The sequence below is a fragment of the Homo sapiens genome, chromosome 3, assembly GCF_000001405.40.
Source record: "Homo sapiens chromosome 3, GRCh38.p14 Primary Assembly".
NCBI classification, from domain to species: domain Eukaryota; kingdom Metazoa; phylum Chordata; class Mammalia; order Primates; family Hominidae; genus Homo; species Homo sapiens.
In genome coordinates this window covers 33,598,240-33,617,451 of record NC_000003.12, presented here as the reverse complement: position 1 = coordinate 33,617,451, position 19,212 = coordinate 33,598,240, and the positions used below count along the sequence as shown (strand labels likewise).

At 36.8% G+C, this 19,212-nt stretch overlaps 1 protein-coding gene across 81 annotated transcripts in view; it reads left to right on the top strand.

Annotated features, from left to right (window-relative positions):
* Window positions 1-19,212, top strand: part of CLASP2 (cytoplasmic linker associated protein 2) — a 222,010-nt gene that overhangs the window by 100,803 nt on the left and 101,995 nt on the right. For all 81 annotated transcript variants that reach the window (NM_001375713.1, NM_001400406.1, NM_001375705.1 and 78 more), the window contains 6 exons: window positions 5,381-5,451; window positions 8,826-8,885; window positions 9,991-10,068; window positions 10,694-10,861; window positions 13,243-13,298; window positions 14,327-14,500. In NM_001375713.1, coding sequence (NP_001362642.1) covers window positions 5,381-5,451; window positions 8,826-8,885; window positions 9,991-10,068; window positions 10,694-10,861; window positions 13,243-13,298; window positions 14,327-14,500 — 607 coding nt within the window. The remainder of the gene's footprint in view (window positions 1-5,380; window positions 5,452-8,825; window positions 8,886-9,990; window positions 10,069-10,693; window positions 10,862-13,242; window positions 13,299-14,326; window positions 14,501-19,212) is intronic.

The following is a 19,212-nucleotide window of genomic DNA, read 5'->3' as shown; positions in this document are numbered from 1 at the left end:
ACTGGATTTAATTTTTGTGTGAAATATAGATTTCTAACTTCATATTTCCCCCAATACAAAGCCAATTGAGCCAGTAGCGTGTGGTGAATTACAATGTAGCCTTTTTTTGAAATGGTGTTGTTTTCATGTAATAAATTTTCATAAATATGTAAGTCTGTTTCTTAAATGTGTTTTCAGTTTCCTTGATCAGTTTGTCCTTTCCTGTTAAAAAAAAGTAAGTTTATTCCTAATATTACTTTCCCAGGAAGTGTTCTTTTTCACTATTTTCATATTTTAAATTAAATGCTAATTTTCGTATTTTATATTAAATGCTAATTTAAAATACGAAAATGGTCCTTTTTTCCCGTTTCAGGCTTTTTTTTTTTTTAAGATTGTAGACAACCTTAATCCAGAACCTTTGTAACAATGTTAGAAAATATAGAGGCTGGGCATGGTGGCTTACGTGTGTAATCTAGCACTTTGGGAGGCTGAGGCAGGTCGATCACAGGAGTCAAGACCAGCCAGGCCAATATGGTGAAACCCCATCTCTACTAAAAATACAAAAAAATTAGCTGGGCGTGATGGTGCATGCCTGTAATCCCAGCTACTCTGGAGGCTGAGGCAGGAGTATTGCTTGAACTTGGGAGGGGGAGGTTGCAGTGAGCCGAGATTACGCCACTGCACTCCAGCCTGGGCGACACAGCAAGACTGTCCCAAAAAAAAAAAAAAAAAAAAAAAGGAAGTATAGTGGGAATTATTGAAATCTTTGTTTTATCCTTGAATTGGGTGGGATCATATTTAACGTTAATTAAATATGATTTTTAATGTGTTTCTATGGATATAGTATATTAGATTATGGAAATTTCCTGCTGTTCACATTTTGCTAAAGTTTGATCAGGAATAGATGTTGAATTTTATCAGATAGCCCTTTAATATCTTTAGAAATGATTATCTTTGTTTTTTCATTTATTCATTATACATTCAGGAACTAAATTCTGCTTGGCCATTGTACATTAAGATACTGCTAGATTCGGTTGGCTAAGTTTAGTAAGATTTTGGCATTCATTTAAATGAATAAGTATTTTGTGAATTTTTTTTCCTGTTTTACATATTTTGTTAATATATTGTTCTGCTATTAGGGTTTAATGACCTTTAAGATTATATAATAACATTTCCATTGTTTTAGGCTCTGGGCATCTTGAATCTTTTATTTTGAAATGTTGGCAATCCTCTCGCCTCAGCCTCCCAAGAAGCTGGGATTACAAGTGTGAGCTCCTGCACCCAGCTGACTTTTTCTTTTTAGAATGTTATACATTCTTTTATATATACTTGGCAGAGGCATTATTTTGGGTTCTTTATAATTCAGTTTATAGTTTTATTGATTGTAGTGAGATTATTTAATTTTTCTAATTCTTTAGTTTCTATTTTTTTTTCAACTTTTAGCTCATTTTATTTTTCTAGATTTTTGTGGTATATCTTTAGACAATTTGCACTGCTTTTTCTTTATTATTATAAGGCTTTGGGTTTTCTTCTGAGTTTGGCTTTGGCAGCATCTCAGTGATTTAAATTTACCATGTTTTATTTATGTTTTCAATCATTTGTAATTTCCATTTCAACTTCTTTGAATTACATAATAATATTTTCATTTTCAGATGGTGCTTTTGTTCTTATTGTCATTATTTTTTAGTTTCATGACATTCTGATCAGGGAATTTGGTTGTATGATTTATTCTTTAGTGAATGTCTTGAAATTTTATTTGTGTTCTAGTATGTCATCACTTTATATAGGTAGTTGGTTATCATTTACAAATGTAGAATTCTTTGGCATAGAATTGAGTACTTTGTTCATCACTAAATCTAGCTTATGTTTTATTTACGTTATTCAAGTTCTTTATGGTCTCTTTTTTTTTTTAAATCTGCTTTATCTGGTAAATTCTGGTTCTAATTTTGTCAATTTCATTTTTCTAACAGTTCTTGATATATGTACTTTATGTATGGTCAAGGTTTTTTTACTATTATCATCTTGAAATAGTATTTTTTTCTTATATTTTGTTTCCTGTTCGTTGTGCTGCTTTTCTTTCCTTTTTTTTTTTTTTTGTAATTTAGAAGTTCCTTATTGTCAAGAATAAAACCTTTGTTATGCTCCTCTCTGCCTTTTAAAAAGTATACATTTTATTTCATTCATGTCATTTTTTCCCTTACCCATTGAATTAAATTTAACAAAGATATTTTCATTTTCAGCAACTGTAATTAACTGTAGTTTTTTACTGCTTTTATTTCTGACCCATTTATTGGTATACTGTCACTTCCCTTTTTTTAATTGATTCTGGGTCATTCTTGTTTGGCTTTAGTGTTTTCTCACTTTTCATATATATTTTTATCTTTGTATAATTTGGTTTGGCTTTTCCTTGCCAATTCAGAATATGGGGACTAAAAATTTGACCGTTGAACTTCAGGTTCACTTTCCTTTTCTTTCACAAATTTTGTTGTTGTTGTTATGGAGTCTCGCTCTGTCACTCCAGTGGCACCATCTCCACCCACTGCAACCTCTACCTCCCAGGTTCAAGCTATTCTTCTGCCTCAGCCTCCCAAGTAGCTGGGCTTTCAGGCACCTGCCACCACGCCTGGCTAATTTTTGTATTTTTAGTAGAGGCGAAGTTTCACTATGTTGGTCAGGCTGCTCTCGAACTCCTGACCTCCTGGCTCACTCCTGTAATCCCAGCACTTTGGGAAAGTGAGGCGATCCGCCTGCCTTGGCCTTCCAAAGTGTTGGGATTACAGGCGTGAGCCACCATGCCCAGCCCGTTTTCTTAACTTTTTATTGTTGCCTCTAAAAATGAGACTATTTGATTATTTTATAGCAAAACAACCACCACCACTACCAAGCAACCTTTAGGAAGTTTTGTAAGACAGTCCCTTTGTGTGAAGATTTTCCCCACAGCAGGTCTAGGAGTCAATTGTCTTTCACTAATACTATTCTTATACAGTGGACAAGGATTTTTGACAGAAATTGGTTATCTTAAATTTATGTTAATTTTCATGGATCTTTTCTTTATTTAGTACTTCTGTCTTATTGGCTCAGATCTTTTCCTGCTGTTACTTTTGTTACACAAATTCTGAAATCCTTGATGTCATTTATCATTTTTTGAATAACTTCTTGTCTCTGTCTTAACAGCTGTATGTAAGGAAAAATTCCTTTAAATTCTACTTATTTGAAAGTACCCATTTTGTGATTCTCAGGCTTTACTCTTTATACTTTGTTTTCAAATTGCTCATTTTTCACGTTATTATACTAGCCTATCATCTCACCAATAATGCAATAATTTTTAAATATTACCCCTGTTTTTCTTTGCTTTGTTTATTTCCTAAGAGTCTACTTCCTTAGATTGCTGTACTTAATTTCTAATTCTCTTTTTAATTTTAGGAAGCTTTTTTTCCCCTGTTGTCAACTTATATTAATAAAGTGTAAATTGTTCTGACTTAGTGTTTGATTGAATGCTTCATCTGTAATTGATGTAAATTTTTACTTTCCTTTGGTACAGCTCCCCCTGAGTATGATGTAGCAATGGTTAGGTTAGTTTATCTCTCCATCCTTGCCACTGTCATGGATGTGATTAACCCAGCATTAGGATTTTGCAGAAGTTAGAAGAAAAATGGAGAAGTGTGGTAGGTAAGACCTCCTTTATAGTTGTTGTAGCTAGGGGATCTCCATGGGTTTTACCTCCGTAGTAATGTTTGAGAAGTGGGCTCTTGTGAATGCTGTAGGGAGCAGGTCCACAGAGTCCTTTCATGCTGAATTAAACAGTTGACTAACAGGCATGTCAGCACACTTTCTTGCATTATTCTCATCTTCAACAGCTTCAAGTCTATAGATCGTTTCTCTTTAGTGGCTGAAAAAAGGGTTTTCATTTATTTTGGTTGAGTTAGCTGTGGCAAACACTGATGTGCCATATGCACTTTCCTTCAATGAAAGACTTGTTTCCCCAATGCTAGGAGAACTGTTAGTAGACAGCCTTCTGTTGCCAGTGTCTTAAAGGATTATTTCAGCTAGAGAGCTGCCTTTCCCAAGGTGTTGCCCCTTCCCAGTATTGCCCATATCCAATAACTGATTGATGTGGAAGTATAAAGGTTTGGCCATCTTGGACCAATTCAAGAGTATTCTCAGGGACTATTTCAGTTTAGAGCTTCGTAATGGTTTTGGGCAAAGATAGCCTTGGGCTGTATCACAGTTCAATTTCTTCCTCTGCCTGCTCCACTCCTGCTTCCTTCATCTCACATCCACAGATGGTAACCCCAAGGGCATTTACAAAAAATTAATATGTAATGTACATATTTTGGGGGTACATGTGATATTTTAATGCATTCACATGTGTCAGTGTCAAATTAGGGTAATAGGGAATTAATCACCTTAAATATTTATCTTCATGCTAGGAACATTCTAATTATTCTCTTTTAGCTATTTTGAAATGTACAATAGATTGTTGTTAACCATAGTCAACCTACTGAACTATCGAACACTAGATCTTATTGTTCTAACTCTATACCTATTAATCAACCCCTTTTCACTCCCTCCTCCCCCTATCCTTCCTAGCCTCTGATCATGACTAACCTATTCTCTATCTTCATGAGATCCACTTTTGTTTATCTCCCACATGAGTGAGAACATGTGATATTTGTCTTTCAAGGGCACTTCCTAATACATATCCTGCATGCTAAACTCCATCTCATAGCCTGCTTCCTAGATAACCCAGCCTGTACCATTAGCTCAGAAGGAATACAGGAGATTTAAGGAATTAAATATGTATGCTTATGTTAATGTCTATTATGAACTTTTTACTGTTTGCTTCACTAAAGAAGGGCATAAGAATTACTAATAGAAATCAGAAGATTATGTCTTTATGGAACTTCTACTTGAATTCTAGAGAGATACGATTCAGCCAGAATGAAGTGAAAGTTCTATTAAGACCACCATTTCAAAGTGCATTCCCAATAGTTAAGGAAATAGATTCACTCGACTACCTGCTTTGATGACATGGCAATTATGATTTTTTACCAGCAGTAGCCATGGTACTTCAGAAAATGTGGCCAGTACATGCCCAGTCCCTCTTAGTGCTCCCTCTCCCCCAAAACTATATTGTCTTAACAGTTCTTTGCAGTTAAACAGTTAACTTTTCTTTGTTAGATCATATTATATCCATACCTGTCCTTTTGAAACTGTATCATCATTACATTACATTAATTCAGGAAAACTTTTCAAGACTGGTCTTAATTTCTTTCAAATCTAATATCTGGTCTTTTTGTCCTCTTGTAACATAACTAAATACTTGAATGTAAGGCAAATAGAAGAAAGGACCACATGAAGTGTGTAGTATTTTCAACCTTTTCTAAAACATCTTTTTCAGCATACTCATGTACCCAGACTTATACCTTTAATAACAAGCAATTGCACATCAAAATCAGTTCCCGTGAGGAGGTAAGTTTAATTTTTTGTTGTTGTTGTTGTTAGTATAGCTCTGATACTGCATTGTTTAATTATTTGTCTGCTGCAAGAATTGGTCATTCATTTCTTGCCTTCCAGAAAACCATAAAAAAGTGTTTTGTTTTGTTTTTTTAATCATATCTCATGTAAGGGAAAAGGGATGAAGTGATTATTATGACCACCCACTTTTCTTAGTTTTATCATATTAAGCTTTGGTTTATTTGGGCTGCTGGTTGCCTTGGTTTTCAGAGAACAAGGAGTACAGAGTCAGGTCTGGGCTTGAGTCCTACAACTGCCATTGACTGTTCTACCTTAGGCAATTATTTAACTGCTCTGAACCTTAGTCCCTGCATAGGTTAGTAGAGCTAATAATGTCAACCCCGTAGAACATAAGGATTAAATGAGATACACATTAGTAGAATGTAGCCTGGTGTTTGGAACGGAGTATATAGCCCTATCAGGTCTTTCAGTTAGTGTCTGCCTCTGTCTCTGGTTTCTACAATTCTTAACATCACACCTGTAAACCTGAATAACAAGAGAGTTTCTCTGAAAGAAAATGATATTAGTATTTATGCAGGAATGAGGATTACAGTGGTATTTTGCATACAGTAGTAAACTATGCGTATTCAGGGAGGTAAAGGAAAACAAAGGTTTTTAAAGGAAAAATGAGGAAGATTACATAATCATTTTGAGGTGGTTATCCTGGACTACAAGGATCAGTAACAAGGGTGATGCCAACTTGAGGTTGGACAGGCAGTTGCTGCGTAGATGTCCTTGCAGAATTTTTGTTTGTTTGTTTGTTTTTGTAAGGTTGCGATAGCCTTTGTGCAAGGTTGTGTTTTTTTGGAGTCTTTTGTGATAGCTCTTGTTATCAGTCATTTATTCATAAGAACTCTCCCTTAATGGCCTTCCTCAGCTCCATTTGTCAAGTGTATGTGTATGTGTGTGTGTTGTAACACAAATGACTTCATTTTGATTCTGACAACTTCACACCACTATCGCCAACAATAATAAAGACAGGAAAAACAAGATTTGTACATTTGATGTTTAAGAAGATTGTAAAGAACTCTGCCTTTTTAAATTAGGTAAATATGTTTAATTAAATACTGTGTTAGGAAGAAGCTGAATAAGACATTGTTATTTGAAGTGGTTCAAACTTTTGACAACAGTTGTTCAGTCATCTCTGTCTTATGTCAGGGGTCAGCAAACAACAGCTTGCAGGTAAAATGTGGCCAATAGTCTGGTTTTGTACAGCCTACACATGCTAAGGGGGTTTTTTACGTTGTTAAAGGGTGATTTAAAAGGTAGGGGATGGGGGTGAAGAATATGAGACAGAGACTGTATGTGGTCCACAAAGCTTAAAATATTTACTGTCCAGCCCTTTACAGAACAGTTTTAACCAACCCGTCTTACATTGAGGAAAATGGTAATTGGAAAAATAAGAATGTGACAGAAGACAAAATCAGAAAATGTACCATAGAATTGCCTTAAAAATGGGGAGCAATCCATTAACTGTAGGGAGAGTGAGTGGAGTACAACCTAAGCAGAAATGTAAAGCTATGTCATATGCTGCAGAGCCATCAGATAGGCCCCTGAGGCCAGAACATATGATAAATGAAAGGTTTCAGTGGGAAAAGAAGGTGGTTGAAGGCTGGGGAGTAGGTTGAGATCATAGTGTGGAGGGCTTTGAATGTTATGAAAAGGAATTTTGACTTTATTTCATAGATAGTAGGAATCTTTGACAGTTGTAGATTTTTGGTGAGGAGGTGATGTCCAAGCCTAATTTTTACTCCAGCTATGAAAGTGATTGAGAAGAAACAATGAAAAGCATTGTTTAATTAGATAGGAGTTGTTATAATTCATGGAAGAGAGAAGCAGAGTCTGAACTAGAACTGTGTTGAACTGTGTTGATAATTGATTGAAGGTTTTATTTAATTAACAAGTTCAAAACGTATTTCATGTGTAGAAATGAGACTTGATAATTGGATATAGATGAGGAGGGTGGTGTTAAGTGCTTCAGACTGTGAGTTCTGGAGTCAGAATGCCAAGGTTTAAGTTTAACTCCATCACTTTGAGCAAGTTAATTTAACCTCCCCATTTCTCATTTCCTAATCTGTAGTATATGAGCTAAAAGAGTAGATTTGAAAGGGTACGAATTAATTCCTTGTTTTCTATGTAGTGTTTGAGTTGACATTCACTGCCTATGTAGAGACATCCATAAACCAGTTGGAACTTTGACAGCTGAAGTGATACATCAATGCTGGAGATACAGGACTAGATGTGATAATTATATCTCATAAGCAGAACTAAGGGTACAGATTATGTTGCCTCAATAAAAAGACTATAAAAAGATAAGTGGGCTAATATTGGTACCAACCAGGTGAGCATCTGTTTAAGGGAAAGTGGAGGAAAAAGTGTTAATAAAGGAAGAAATACAGGTCAGAGCTGTGTCATCAAATGCCAAGGAAGGAGAGGAGCTCAAGTATGAGACAGTTGAAGAAACTGAGAAATAGAGGACTTAGGAGAAAATGTACACAAACTTTATGTAAAGTCATATACATACATATGTAAGGAAACAGTGTAAAGATGAAAGATCCAGATTGTTGTGGCTTTCTTGATCACCATTGTATATCTTCACTGTCAAGTGCATAGATGTTTAATAAATATTTTTAAATTAATAAATGAAACTTGTTAAATTTTATTTAATTTATTTTTGAGACAGGTTCTCACTGTGTTGCCCAGGCTGGAGTACAGTGGCAGGATCTCGGCTCACTGCAACCTCCGCTTCCCAGGTTCAAGCGATTCTCTTGCCTCCACCTCTCAAGTAGCTGGGAGTACAGGCATACACCACCATACCCAGCTAATTTTTGTATTTTTAATAGAGACAGAGCTTCACCATGTTGGCCAGGCTGGTCTCGAACTCCTGACCTCAAGTGATCCACCCACCTCAGCCTTCCAAAGTGCTGAGATTACAGGCATGAACCACAACGCCCAGCCTTAAGGTTTATATTTGACACACATTTTAAGTTAAAATTATGAGGAAGTCTTAAAGTATTTTTGAACTGTTTAGCATAACAATAATTGGATCCTGAGTAAGTTCAGTATTCACAGTTACTTGGGAGGCCGAGACAAGAGAATCACTTGAACCCGGGAGGCAGAGGTTGCAGTGAGCCGAGATCGCGCCACTGCACTCCAGCCTGGGCAAGAAGAGTGAAACTCTGTCTCCAAAAAAAAAAAAAAAAAAAAAAAAGATATCTAAAAACATGTCTTATGCTTTAATTTAGGGGGCAAAGTGTAGTAGTATAAAAGAAAGTGTTAATGTATTTCTCAATACAACATTTAGTTATCATTCAACTTTTATTTTTCAGACGTTCATTTGAATTTTTAGATTTATTGTTGCAAGAGTGGCAGACTCATTCATTGGAAAGGTATGCATTCCCTCTTCCTTCCTCCCACTTTCCTCCCCATTGTCACCAGTTCTTTAGAAGTTGATGGTATTGGTTTTACATTATTTCTCATTTTGCTTCAAAGGTTATTTGTACTGGTTTTCCTTTAAAGCTGTGGTGGTGTTGTGCTCCTCTTACTCATTACAACCATGAATAGTATGATTTTCTTCTTTGTTTGTGGGATGGGTAAGGGTTTCTCAAATAGAATGGGTTATATAAGATACTCCAAGTTGAGTTGGGCAAAAGTTTAAAAATGTATCTCTAGTCATATGATGTAAGTTTCCTGAAGTGTAATCAATCATGTAATGAATGATTTAAGATGGAAGGAGCCTCCTTTCAGAGGAAAGAGATTTTTAAGAAGAGATATTTGTTGGGAGGTTTCTCCACACCAGCTGTCAGATGTCATTGGTCAAGTATATACTGGGCAATGTCTAGTGTAACTCTGAGATGACGGAGAGGAAAATGTGGGCAGCTGATTGGTGACTGGCTATTTGCATGGCTATATTTCTCATTAACTTCAAGTTTGAAGCTTGGAAGACATTGTATTTACCTTGAGTATATTGCTGATTTTTCATTTTCATGGAAATTCTTGAATTCTTAAAGCTCATTTTTAAAAAATAGAATTTGTTTTTTAATGTAGGCATAATATAATTTCAAGTTTTCTTTGCGTTCTTCTGTGGCAGCTACTATTCAAATTTGGTCAGATCACAATTGATCACACTTAGCAAATCATTTCTACAGTGGTGGATTAGTGAGGAACCACACAGAAGATTCTTTTTTTCTCTAATTTATTAAAAATTAAAAATTTAGGTACTATGTATTTATACACTATCTGAATTCCATGTAAAAATAATTACTTTTAGATTTATAATAATTGGATTGTCAGAAGGAAACCATACATGAATAAAACATATGGGGCAGATAATTAGAAAATCTTATGGTCTTAGATTTATTATTGTACACTAATTAATTTTTATTTTCCTCGCCTACCTGTTTGTGATTAATATGTAACATATAGGCCTTAAGTACCATTTGTGGTGAAACATACAGCTATATCATAACTCTAAAGATGTATTTTATTTTATAGACATGCAGCCGTCTTGGTTGAAACTATTAAAAAGGGAATTCATGATGCTGACGCTGAGGCCAGAGTGGAGGCAAGAAAGTAAGTCAGTGTAGTATAGTTTTGTGACAGTTTAATCTTTTTTAAAAAAAAATGTATTAGGAGAATGAAAATATCAGAAGTGTCCAAGTATTTTACTTGACTAGCCCTCCAGTAAAATTAAGATTGTTTTTTCTCCATTACATCTGTATTAGACATCTAACAGCCTCCTACATGTTGCCACTGACATGTAATCATCAGTATTCTTTTTTTGTCATAACCTATTCACTTTCATCATGAATAAAAAGACTATCACTTATCAAGTTTGTATTGTGAACCTGATATTGTTTGAAGTACTTGTTATATGTTATTTTCTAATCCTTAGAATGATCCTCCGAAGATAGTGTTATCTCCATAGATGGCAACTGAAATTTGGACACTTAGGGGTTTACCCAAGGCCACACAAACTATAAGTGGCACAGCAGGTTTTGAACTGAGATCTCCTTTTCTCAAAAGCCTTCAGTCTTTCCACTGGAACTTGTTCAATTTAGAAAGTGTTCACCTGACAAATATCAGATAATGCTGAAAACCAGTGGGCTTATCTTCATCCTTCTTGAACGTACACGTTACTGTTAATGTCTAATTATGTAAAGCTATTACTTCATCTGCTTTTCTTTTTTTTTAACAGGACATACATGGGTCTTAGAAACCACTTTCCTGGTGAAGCTGAAACATTATATAATTCCCTTGAGCCATCTTATCAGAAGAGTCTTCAAACTTACTTAAAGAGTTCTGGCAGTGTAGCATCTCTTCCACAATCAGACAGGTCCTCATCCAGCTCACAGGAAAGTCTCAAGTAAGGTCATATAAATAATGATTACTAGTCTCTTCCTCTCCTCAACTCCCTGAAGTTTCATAAGTTGGATACTTGAATATCTGTTTGCTTTCACCTAAAGCCTTGAAAGAATGGTAACTCTAATACACTTATTTATTTTGGTCTACTGTTTCAAGAGTTGGATTACTTTCCAGCATAATTCCTTCTCTTTGGATAAAGAGTTCTATGATTCATATTTTGCTTCAATATGTTCACGTCTGTAGAAGCCTGGGAAGCACTACATTTTTTTTTAATACCACAAAAACAGTACTTACAATAAATAGCCCATTTAATGGAGGAATTGTAATGGAGATTCAGAAGTTATCTTGAGAATTCTACAACACTATGTGACTAGTCTGCTTTCCTTCCTAACCTGTCGCACAGCTTAAAAATTCAGGAAATCCCTCAAGGGACAACATTATCTAGTATCTGACTTAGTTCTCTGTAACTCCATTCTCATCTTGATGACGGCTACCTCAAATCCTTACTGCTTAGCAGCCATAACCCTGTTTTCTGTCTCTCTAGCCCTATGAGATTGCTAAAATTACTGATGCCTTCTCCACTTCCTAGCACTGGCCCTGTCCCTCTTCGTGACCTCTTGCCCTGTGCCATGTATCTGCAGATTTCCCCCAGGGAAGAGCAGCTCAGAGAATGTCAGCTTAGGCCAGGCATGGTAGCTCATGCCTGTAATCCCAGCACTTTGAGAGGCTAAGGCGAGCAGATCACCTGAGGTCAGGAGTTCGAGACCAGCCTGGCCAACATGGTGAAACCCCATCTCTACTAAAAATTAGCCAGGCATGGTGGCGGGTGCCTGTAATCCCAGCTACTTGGGAGGCTGAGGCAGGAGAATCGTTTAAACCTGGGAGGTGGAGGTTGCAGTGAGCTGAGATCGTGCCACTGCACTCCAGCCTGGGAAACAGAGTGAGACTCTGTTTCCAAAAAACTTCTCTGTAATTTCTTTCTTTTTGGGATCTTGACCACCACAAAGATTGCCGGTTTCCTTGGCAACTCTGATGCAGAACTGGGACCAGGGTGAGGCAAGTGAGGCACCTAGGGTACAGAATTTAAGCAGGCACTCACTGGGTCATTCAAATACTGTACTAAAGTTCAGTTGCTTATAGGTTTTCAGAGTAAAAGCAGTTATGATCTGATTTCAAAAATAATTGTTGTAGGAATAATGACCTATCTAAACTTTTATTTAAATTTCTGTTTAAACTTCTATTTAAATTTGTGATAAGTTCCTCATCTGAAATGAGCTGTCTTTGTTGCTTTTGTTCTCTTTTTATTAACTATGCTCAGACTTTAAAGTATATACAAATCACCTGAAGATCTTTTTAAAATCTAGAATCTGATTCAGTAATTTTGGGGTGGGGCCTGAGATTTTTCATTTTTTGCAAGCTCCTAGGTGATGCTAAATGCTGTTTGTTCATGGACCATATTTTGAGTACAAAGGATCTAAAGGAAGATATTTTATATTGCTCTAATGTAACATTTTTAAACATAAACAACTTTAGATTCTGTGAACCTTAAAGTGATCCGCCTCAATCTAAGAGAATAACAATTTTGGGAGACACTTATAAAAATAATGTGATGTTAGCTTAAACATTACACGGACATTACAACCTTACAACTTAGGTGAGAGAGGCTTTGGTTATGCTGAGTTGCCTATGTGCTAGTGATAACACTACCCCTTTCTTCTAAGTAAAATATCTCAGGATACAAGTGAAAAATAATAGTACTGTTATCGAGTTCTCTTTGGTGGTCACCATGATGTGTGTTGAGGAGCAGAGTGAACAAAGGCAACCTGATCCCTGTCTCTGTAGAGCTTAGTCTTTATTCACTGCCAGTATTTTATTTTTGCTTCATAGCTAATTGAGACACATTGATACCTGATGATTGGGAGGAACTGTTCTAATGCGATTTGTAAAAGGAGAATTCAAATTGGAAGTACCAGCTAGGCACGGTGGCTCACACATATAATTCCAGCACTTTGAGAGGCTGAGGTAGGAGGATCACACTTGAGCCCAGGAGTTTGAGACCAGCCTGGGAAACTTAGGGAAACCCGATCTCTATTAAAAATTTAAAAATTAGCCACGCTTGGTGGCAGGCACATATAGTCCCAGGTAACTTGAGAGATTGAGGTGGGATGATCACTTGAGTCTGGGAAGTCAAGACTGCAGTGAGCCATGATTATGGGACTACACTGTAGCCTGGGTGACACAGCAAGACTCTGTCTCAAAAAAAAAAAAAAAGAAAAAAGAAATACTTCTCAACTTTCCACAAAATTCAGTAGTATTTTATTGGTTTTTATCAGAGGAGTGTTAAATTGTCTTCTTACTAAAAGCATTTTTTATACTTTGCAGTCGCCCTTTTTCTTCCAAATGGTCTACAGCAAATCCATCAACTGTGGCTGGAAGAGGTAATTTTCTCTTTAAATAAGAGTTATAACCTATTTTATCTTTGAAACAGTAGCCTTCAAACTCTTTTGATGTGCTCCATAGTGAAAAGATCGTTTTACTTGGTAACTCAGTACCACACATATGCACTGTACCTGTATATGTATACGTGTATACATATATAATAAAACCCGAAGTTCCAGGAAGCCATACTTACTCTTACTTGTGATGCACTCTGTTTTCAATTGTTTCATTTCTTCATAATGCTTCTCATGACGCACTCAGTTGATTTTACAACCTATTAATGGGTCATAACTCACAGTTTATAAAACTCCTGACCAGCCTGGCCAACATGGGGAGACCCCATCTCCACTAAAAATACAAAAATTAGCAGGGCATGGTGGCACGTGCCCATAATCCCAGCTACTCAGGAGGCTGAGGGAGGAGAATCACTTGAACCCAGAAAGTGGAGGTTGCAGTGAGTCGAGATCGCGCCACTGCACTCCAGCCTGGGTGACAGAGCGAGACTTTGTCTCAAAAAAAATAAAATAAATAAAAATAAAAAACTGAAAAACTGAAGACCAGAAATTGAATGACTTAATTTGCATTCCCATGGAGTGGCAGAACCTCCATTAATTTTTTAATATCTCTACTCCTGGACTAGTTTTTCTTGTATTTTTATCATAGTAAAAAATAATACTGCTGCTTTCTATTTATCTTGTACAGTGCTTCCTTTGCACAAATCAGTCCTAAACATCATCTCTTCATCTACAAAACAGTCCTATGAATTTTACAGTCACAATGTCACCATTTTTCCCATTTTTATGGGAGAGAAATAAGGTAGAGAAATATTGAGAAAATTGCTGAAGACTTAGTTGTGATTGAAACTGAGGCATTCTGACTTTAAAATGCTTAATAGTACTGTCCATTTGGCCACAGCCTTTTTGTTGACCATTTGTCATCAGATTAGCTCATGGTGGTCAGGTTTATATAATTTTCATGTTTTCAGTGATTTAAATGATATAAGTTATCTTTGCTTTGTATTTCGTAGTATCAGCAGGCAGCAGCAAAGCCAGTTCCCTTCCAGGAAGCCTGCAGCGTTCACGAAGTGACATTGATGTGAATGCTGCTGCAGGTGCCAAGGCACATCATGCTGCTGGACAGTCTGTGCGAAGCGGGCGCTTAGGTGCAGGTGCCCTGAATGCAGGTTCCTATGCGTCACTAGGTAAGAGAACTGATTATGGAAAATTGTACCATGTTCTCTCCCTGATCTCTGTGAAGACAAGTTCATATACCTTAATCATTTCTATTCATTCTTGTTATTTAAGGATAGTCCATATGTTTTAATATAATTCTATATTGCGGACACACTTCTGAGGAATCTGAGCTGCCTTGTTTCTCCTTTTCCCTTGTTCTCATCATCGTCTTGATCAAAGAAACAATTCTTGAATCCATGATTGCCTGTAGAATTTTCATAACTGCACTTCTACCACATCTAGCCACTGGTTTCTAAGGGGGTTTGGGAAGGGAATTGGCTTGTATCTAACTTTCCTGTTTTCTTTCTCCTACTTCTCTTCTCTTACCAAGAATGTGAAGCCTTTTGGAGATCTGGGAGAACTGCAAAGCTCTACTCTGTCTAACCAAACCCTAAACATATATTCCAAAACTCTATTCAGTTTGATTTCTTCATGTTTTTATGTCTATCAAATTAAAAAGTTGACGTTGGTTTGCGTATCTCTTCTTCATGCTTCCATTTTTTTCTTTTGGGTAGTACTGCTGGAACACTAAGCAGGCAGATCGCCAGAACACAATACAGGTTGAGCATACCTAATCTAAAAATCTGAAATCTGAAATGCTCCAAAATCTGAAACTTTTTGAGCACCAACATGACACTCAAAGGTATTTTGGACTGAGGCGGGCAGATCACCTGAGGTCAGGAGTTCGTGACCAGCCTGGCCAAAGTGGCAAAACCCTATCTCTACTAAAAATGCAAAACTTAGCCGGGCATGGTGGCTCATGCCTGTAATCCCAGCTACTTGGGAAGCTGAGGCAGGAGAATCACTTGAACCCAGGAGGCAGAGGTTGCAGTGAGCCAAAATCGTGCCATTGCACTGCAGCCTGGGCGACAGAGTGAGACTCCGTCAAAAAAAAAAAAAAAAAAGGTATTTCGGATTTTGGATTTTTGAATTAGCAATGCCTAGGGATGCTCAGTCATTTAAGTATGAATGCACATATTTCAAAATCTGAAATCTAAAACATTTTTGGCCCCAAACATTTTAAATAAGGAGTACTCAACCTGTTAGAAGTGCAGAGAATTTAGGTATGAGTATAGTGCATGATAAAGTTGGCACAGCTGCATTCAGAACCGTGAAGAGGAATAGATCATTCAGTAAATTGTGTTTAGACACATGGTTTACAATCTGGTATAAAATTAAGTTAGAACCATGTTACACACCATATAGAAATATATTCCAGATGATAAAAACATTAAAAACATAAAGCAACTTGATGAAAACATAATAGGTGAGTATTCATCAAATCTCAGGTTGAGACAGGAATTCCTATACATAAAAGCAAATAAGCCATGAAGGAAAAAAATCTCTTGAATTTAAATCTAAAGTATGAAAATATGAAATCTTAAGCAAAAACTAAAAGGGAAAAATATTTTGCCACATAGTAGTAAAAAAGTTAAAATGTTGAGGTTTTTCAAGTCTGTTAAAAACAGATGAGCTTATTTTTATAGAAAAAATTCTACATATATCAAGAAAAGCATATGTCAAAATGGCCAACAAATACCAGAATAAATGTTGAACCTTAGCTATAATCAAACAAATACAAATTGATAGACCTGTAACTATAACACAAAAGTTAAGGGTAGTGCCCACTGTTTTCAAGAATGTGGTAAAAAGGGCCTTATCGCCGGGCACGGTGGCTCACACCTGTAATCCCAGCACTTTGGGAGGCCGAGACAGGTGGATCACGAAGTCAGGAGATCGAGACCATCCTGGCTAACACGGTGAAACACCGTCTCTACTAAAAATACAAAAAAAACTAGCCGGGCGTGGTGGCGAGCGCCTGTAGTCCCAGCTACTCGGGAGGCTGAGGCAGGAGAATGGCGTGAACCCGGGAGGCGGAGGTTGCAGTGAGCCGAGATCTTGCCACTGCACTCCAGCCTGAGGGACGGAGCAAGACTCCGCCTCAAAAAAAAAAAAAAAAAAAAAAAGCCTTATCAAGCAACACTGATGTGAATTAGTGATGGGACACTTTTTCTGAGTTCCAATTTAGGAATTCCATGAAGCATTTTTAAATCAGAATGTTTGCCCCAGTAATTCAATGTTTACATAATTATGTTTTTAATAACGTTATTAGCATCAACCTTAATGTGTAACAGAGGGGATGGTTGAGTTATATTGTATCCTTATATATGTTGTGCAGCCATTAGCAAGTCATATTTTCAACAAAGGTTGAATTATGCAGACTACCAAATAGTATGTAGTAATTTCATCATTTTGTGTAAAATTATACATAGAAGAAGGACTGGTGTGATATATACAAAGGTGTTAACAGTGTGTTGATTACTGCTTTTAATTTTCAGAAAACTTTTTGTTTCAAAGCATTACATTGCCAAGAATGCAAGGTTATTTCAGTATGTGAAGACCAGTCAACAAATGTACCATATTAATAGAAGAAAGGACCAAAACCACATGATCATCTCAGTAGCTGCAGAAAAAGCATTTGACAAAATTAACACCCTTTCATAATAAACATACTCAACAAACTAGGAACAGAAGTCATCTTTCTCAACCTGATAAAGAGAATCTGAAAAATCCACAGCTAACATCCTACCTGACGATTAAAAAACTGGATATTTTTCCCTAAGATCAGTAACAAGACGAGAATGTCCACTCTTGGCCCTATTTAACATTACCTTGAAGTAATGTTAAATTGGAGGTGCTAGACAGGGCAATTAAGCAAGAAAATAAATAGAAGGTATCCAAATTGGAATGGAAGAACAAACTGTCTCTCTTTGCAGAAAACACAATCTTGTGTTTAGAAAATCCTAAGGAATCCACACACACACACACACAAAAAAAATATATATATGAGCAAAACACATTACATTGAATATCTATTATTTTTACCGAAGAAAAATACTGTATTTAAAGTGCTTTAATGTGCACTAGAAAGCCAATTTGGGACAATTTTTTTTTGTGAGAACCTATTGTTGTTCTTTAAGGTTTGAATTTCATGTTTCATTGTAAAAAGGAGAGTGCCACTACTTTTTTCTTTTCTTCATCTGACCCAGGTTCCCACTCAGGGACAATCAGCTACCTGCCTGCGGCTTTTTCAGGGGTTGGATAAAGGATGTTCTCCTTCTTACCCTCCTTCCCTTTCTCCCTTCACCCCACCCTACCCGCTGTGTCTCATGTACCCTTCTTACACACGTAAGACTGATATAACCTCTGTTTTCTTCTACTTTGAGCCTCACTTATGGCTATACATGTATGAATTAGAGGGAGTGTTCTGTTAGTTTTCAGCACACACTTGAGCACTTAGTTTTTGCTAGGTACCAGGGATCCAGAGGTATATGCTTCTATACTGAATCTCTCTCAGTCTATTGGTAGGTTGCTGAAGGATGAGCAGCTAAAAGTTTGTTGCGTTTTATGCATTTTGAGTTTGAAGTCCCTGTGAGACTTCAAACTGGAAGTTTTCAGTGGACACTTGGTATATAGTAGTATAGAACTTGGCAGAGAGGCCGGCACAGTGACTCAACACCTGTAAACCCAGCACTTTGGGAGGTTGAGGCGGGTGAATTGCTTGAGCTCAGGAATTTGAGACCAGCCTGGGCAACATGGCGAAACCACACCTCTACCAAAATAAAAATTTAACCAGGTGTGGTAGCACATGCCTGTGGGCCCATCTACTAGGGAGGCTGAGGTGAGAGGATTGCTGGAGCCCAGGAAGTAGAGGCTGCAGTGAGCCGTGATCACACCACTGCACTTCAGCCTGGGTGACAGAGCGAGACCTTTCCACGTTCTCCAAAATAAATAAATAAATAAATAAATAAATAAGACAACAACAACTACTTAGCAGAGTGATGATGATTAGATTCGATTTGGAAGTCATTAGATGATTTTACTTACTGTAATCAATATTAAACTCAGAGCATTCCTTCTTAAAGCAGTTGCTACTGGTTTTTGTTATCTCTAAAGTACTGAATTTTTTGGCAGCAGGGATATTTTAAGTGTTTTGAAGTTCACTCTTTAACTTCAGCCTGAAGAGGAAACTTGGTGGTAGGAAACAGGAATTTAAGTTAAGGTAACCTTGATGTTTGAGTACATATTTATGAATATTTATTCTAACAATTGAGTTTATGGAATTGCTTGAGTGGAAAAGAAAATATAGTTTCAATGAGGTCATATGGACAGAAGTCAGATTTTAGTTGGTTGATATAGAAGTTGGAAAGAGAATCTGTGTAAATTATTGTTACGCCTGACGGTCAAGAAAAGGGGTGAAAGAATGGTAGGAATTATCTGTGGTTGAAAGAACTTATCATCTTATAAGATTGGAGAAGTTAATTATGTTTGTATCCTAAGGTGGCAAGTCAGTAGAGATGGAAAAGTTAGAAGTGTAAGGATGAAAGGAGATAATTAATAGCTAAGTTGCTGTGGAAGGTGTGAGGAATGGGATATGGAGCATAGCCTGGGAGTTAGTCTTGAATGTGGAAGGGTGAGCCATTTCACAGATGTAGAAGGGGAGGAAGTGATGGAAGGGAAGGAATTGGAAGAGGTAGTAGATATCAGATACGATATTTTGGAAAGTTGGACATTAAGAAGAGTGTGATTGGGGAGGTTGTTGTGACTTTCTGCCTGAAGATTCAGAGTCAGGATCATGTGCTAACAGGTGACTTGAAGTTTAGAATAGCCATTTGGGGAG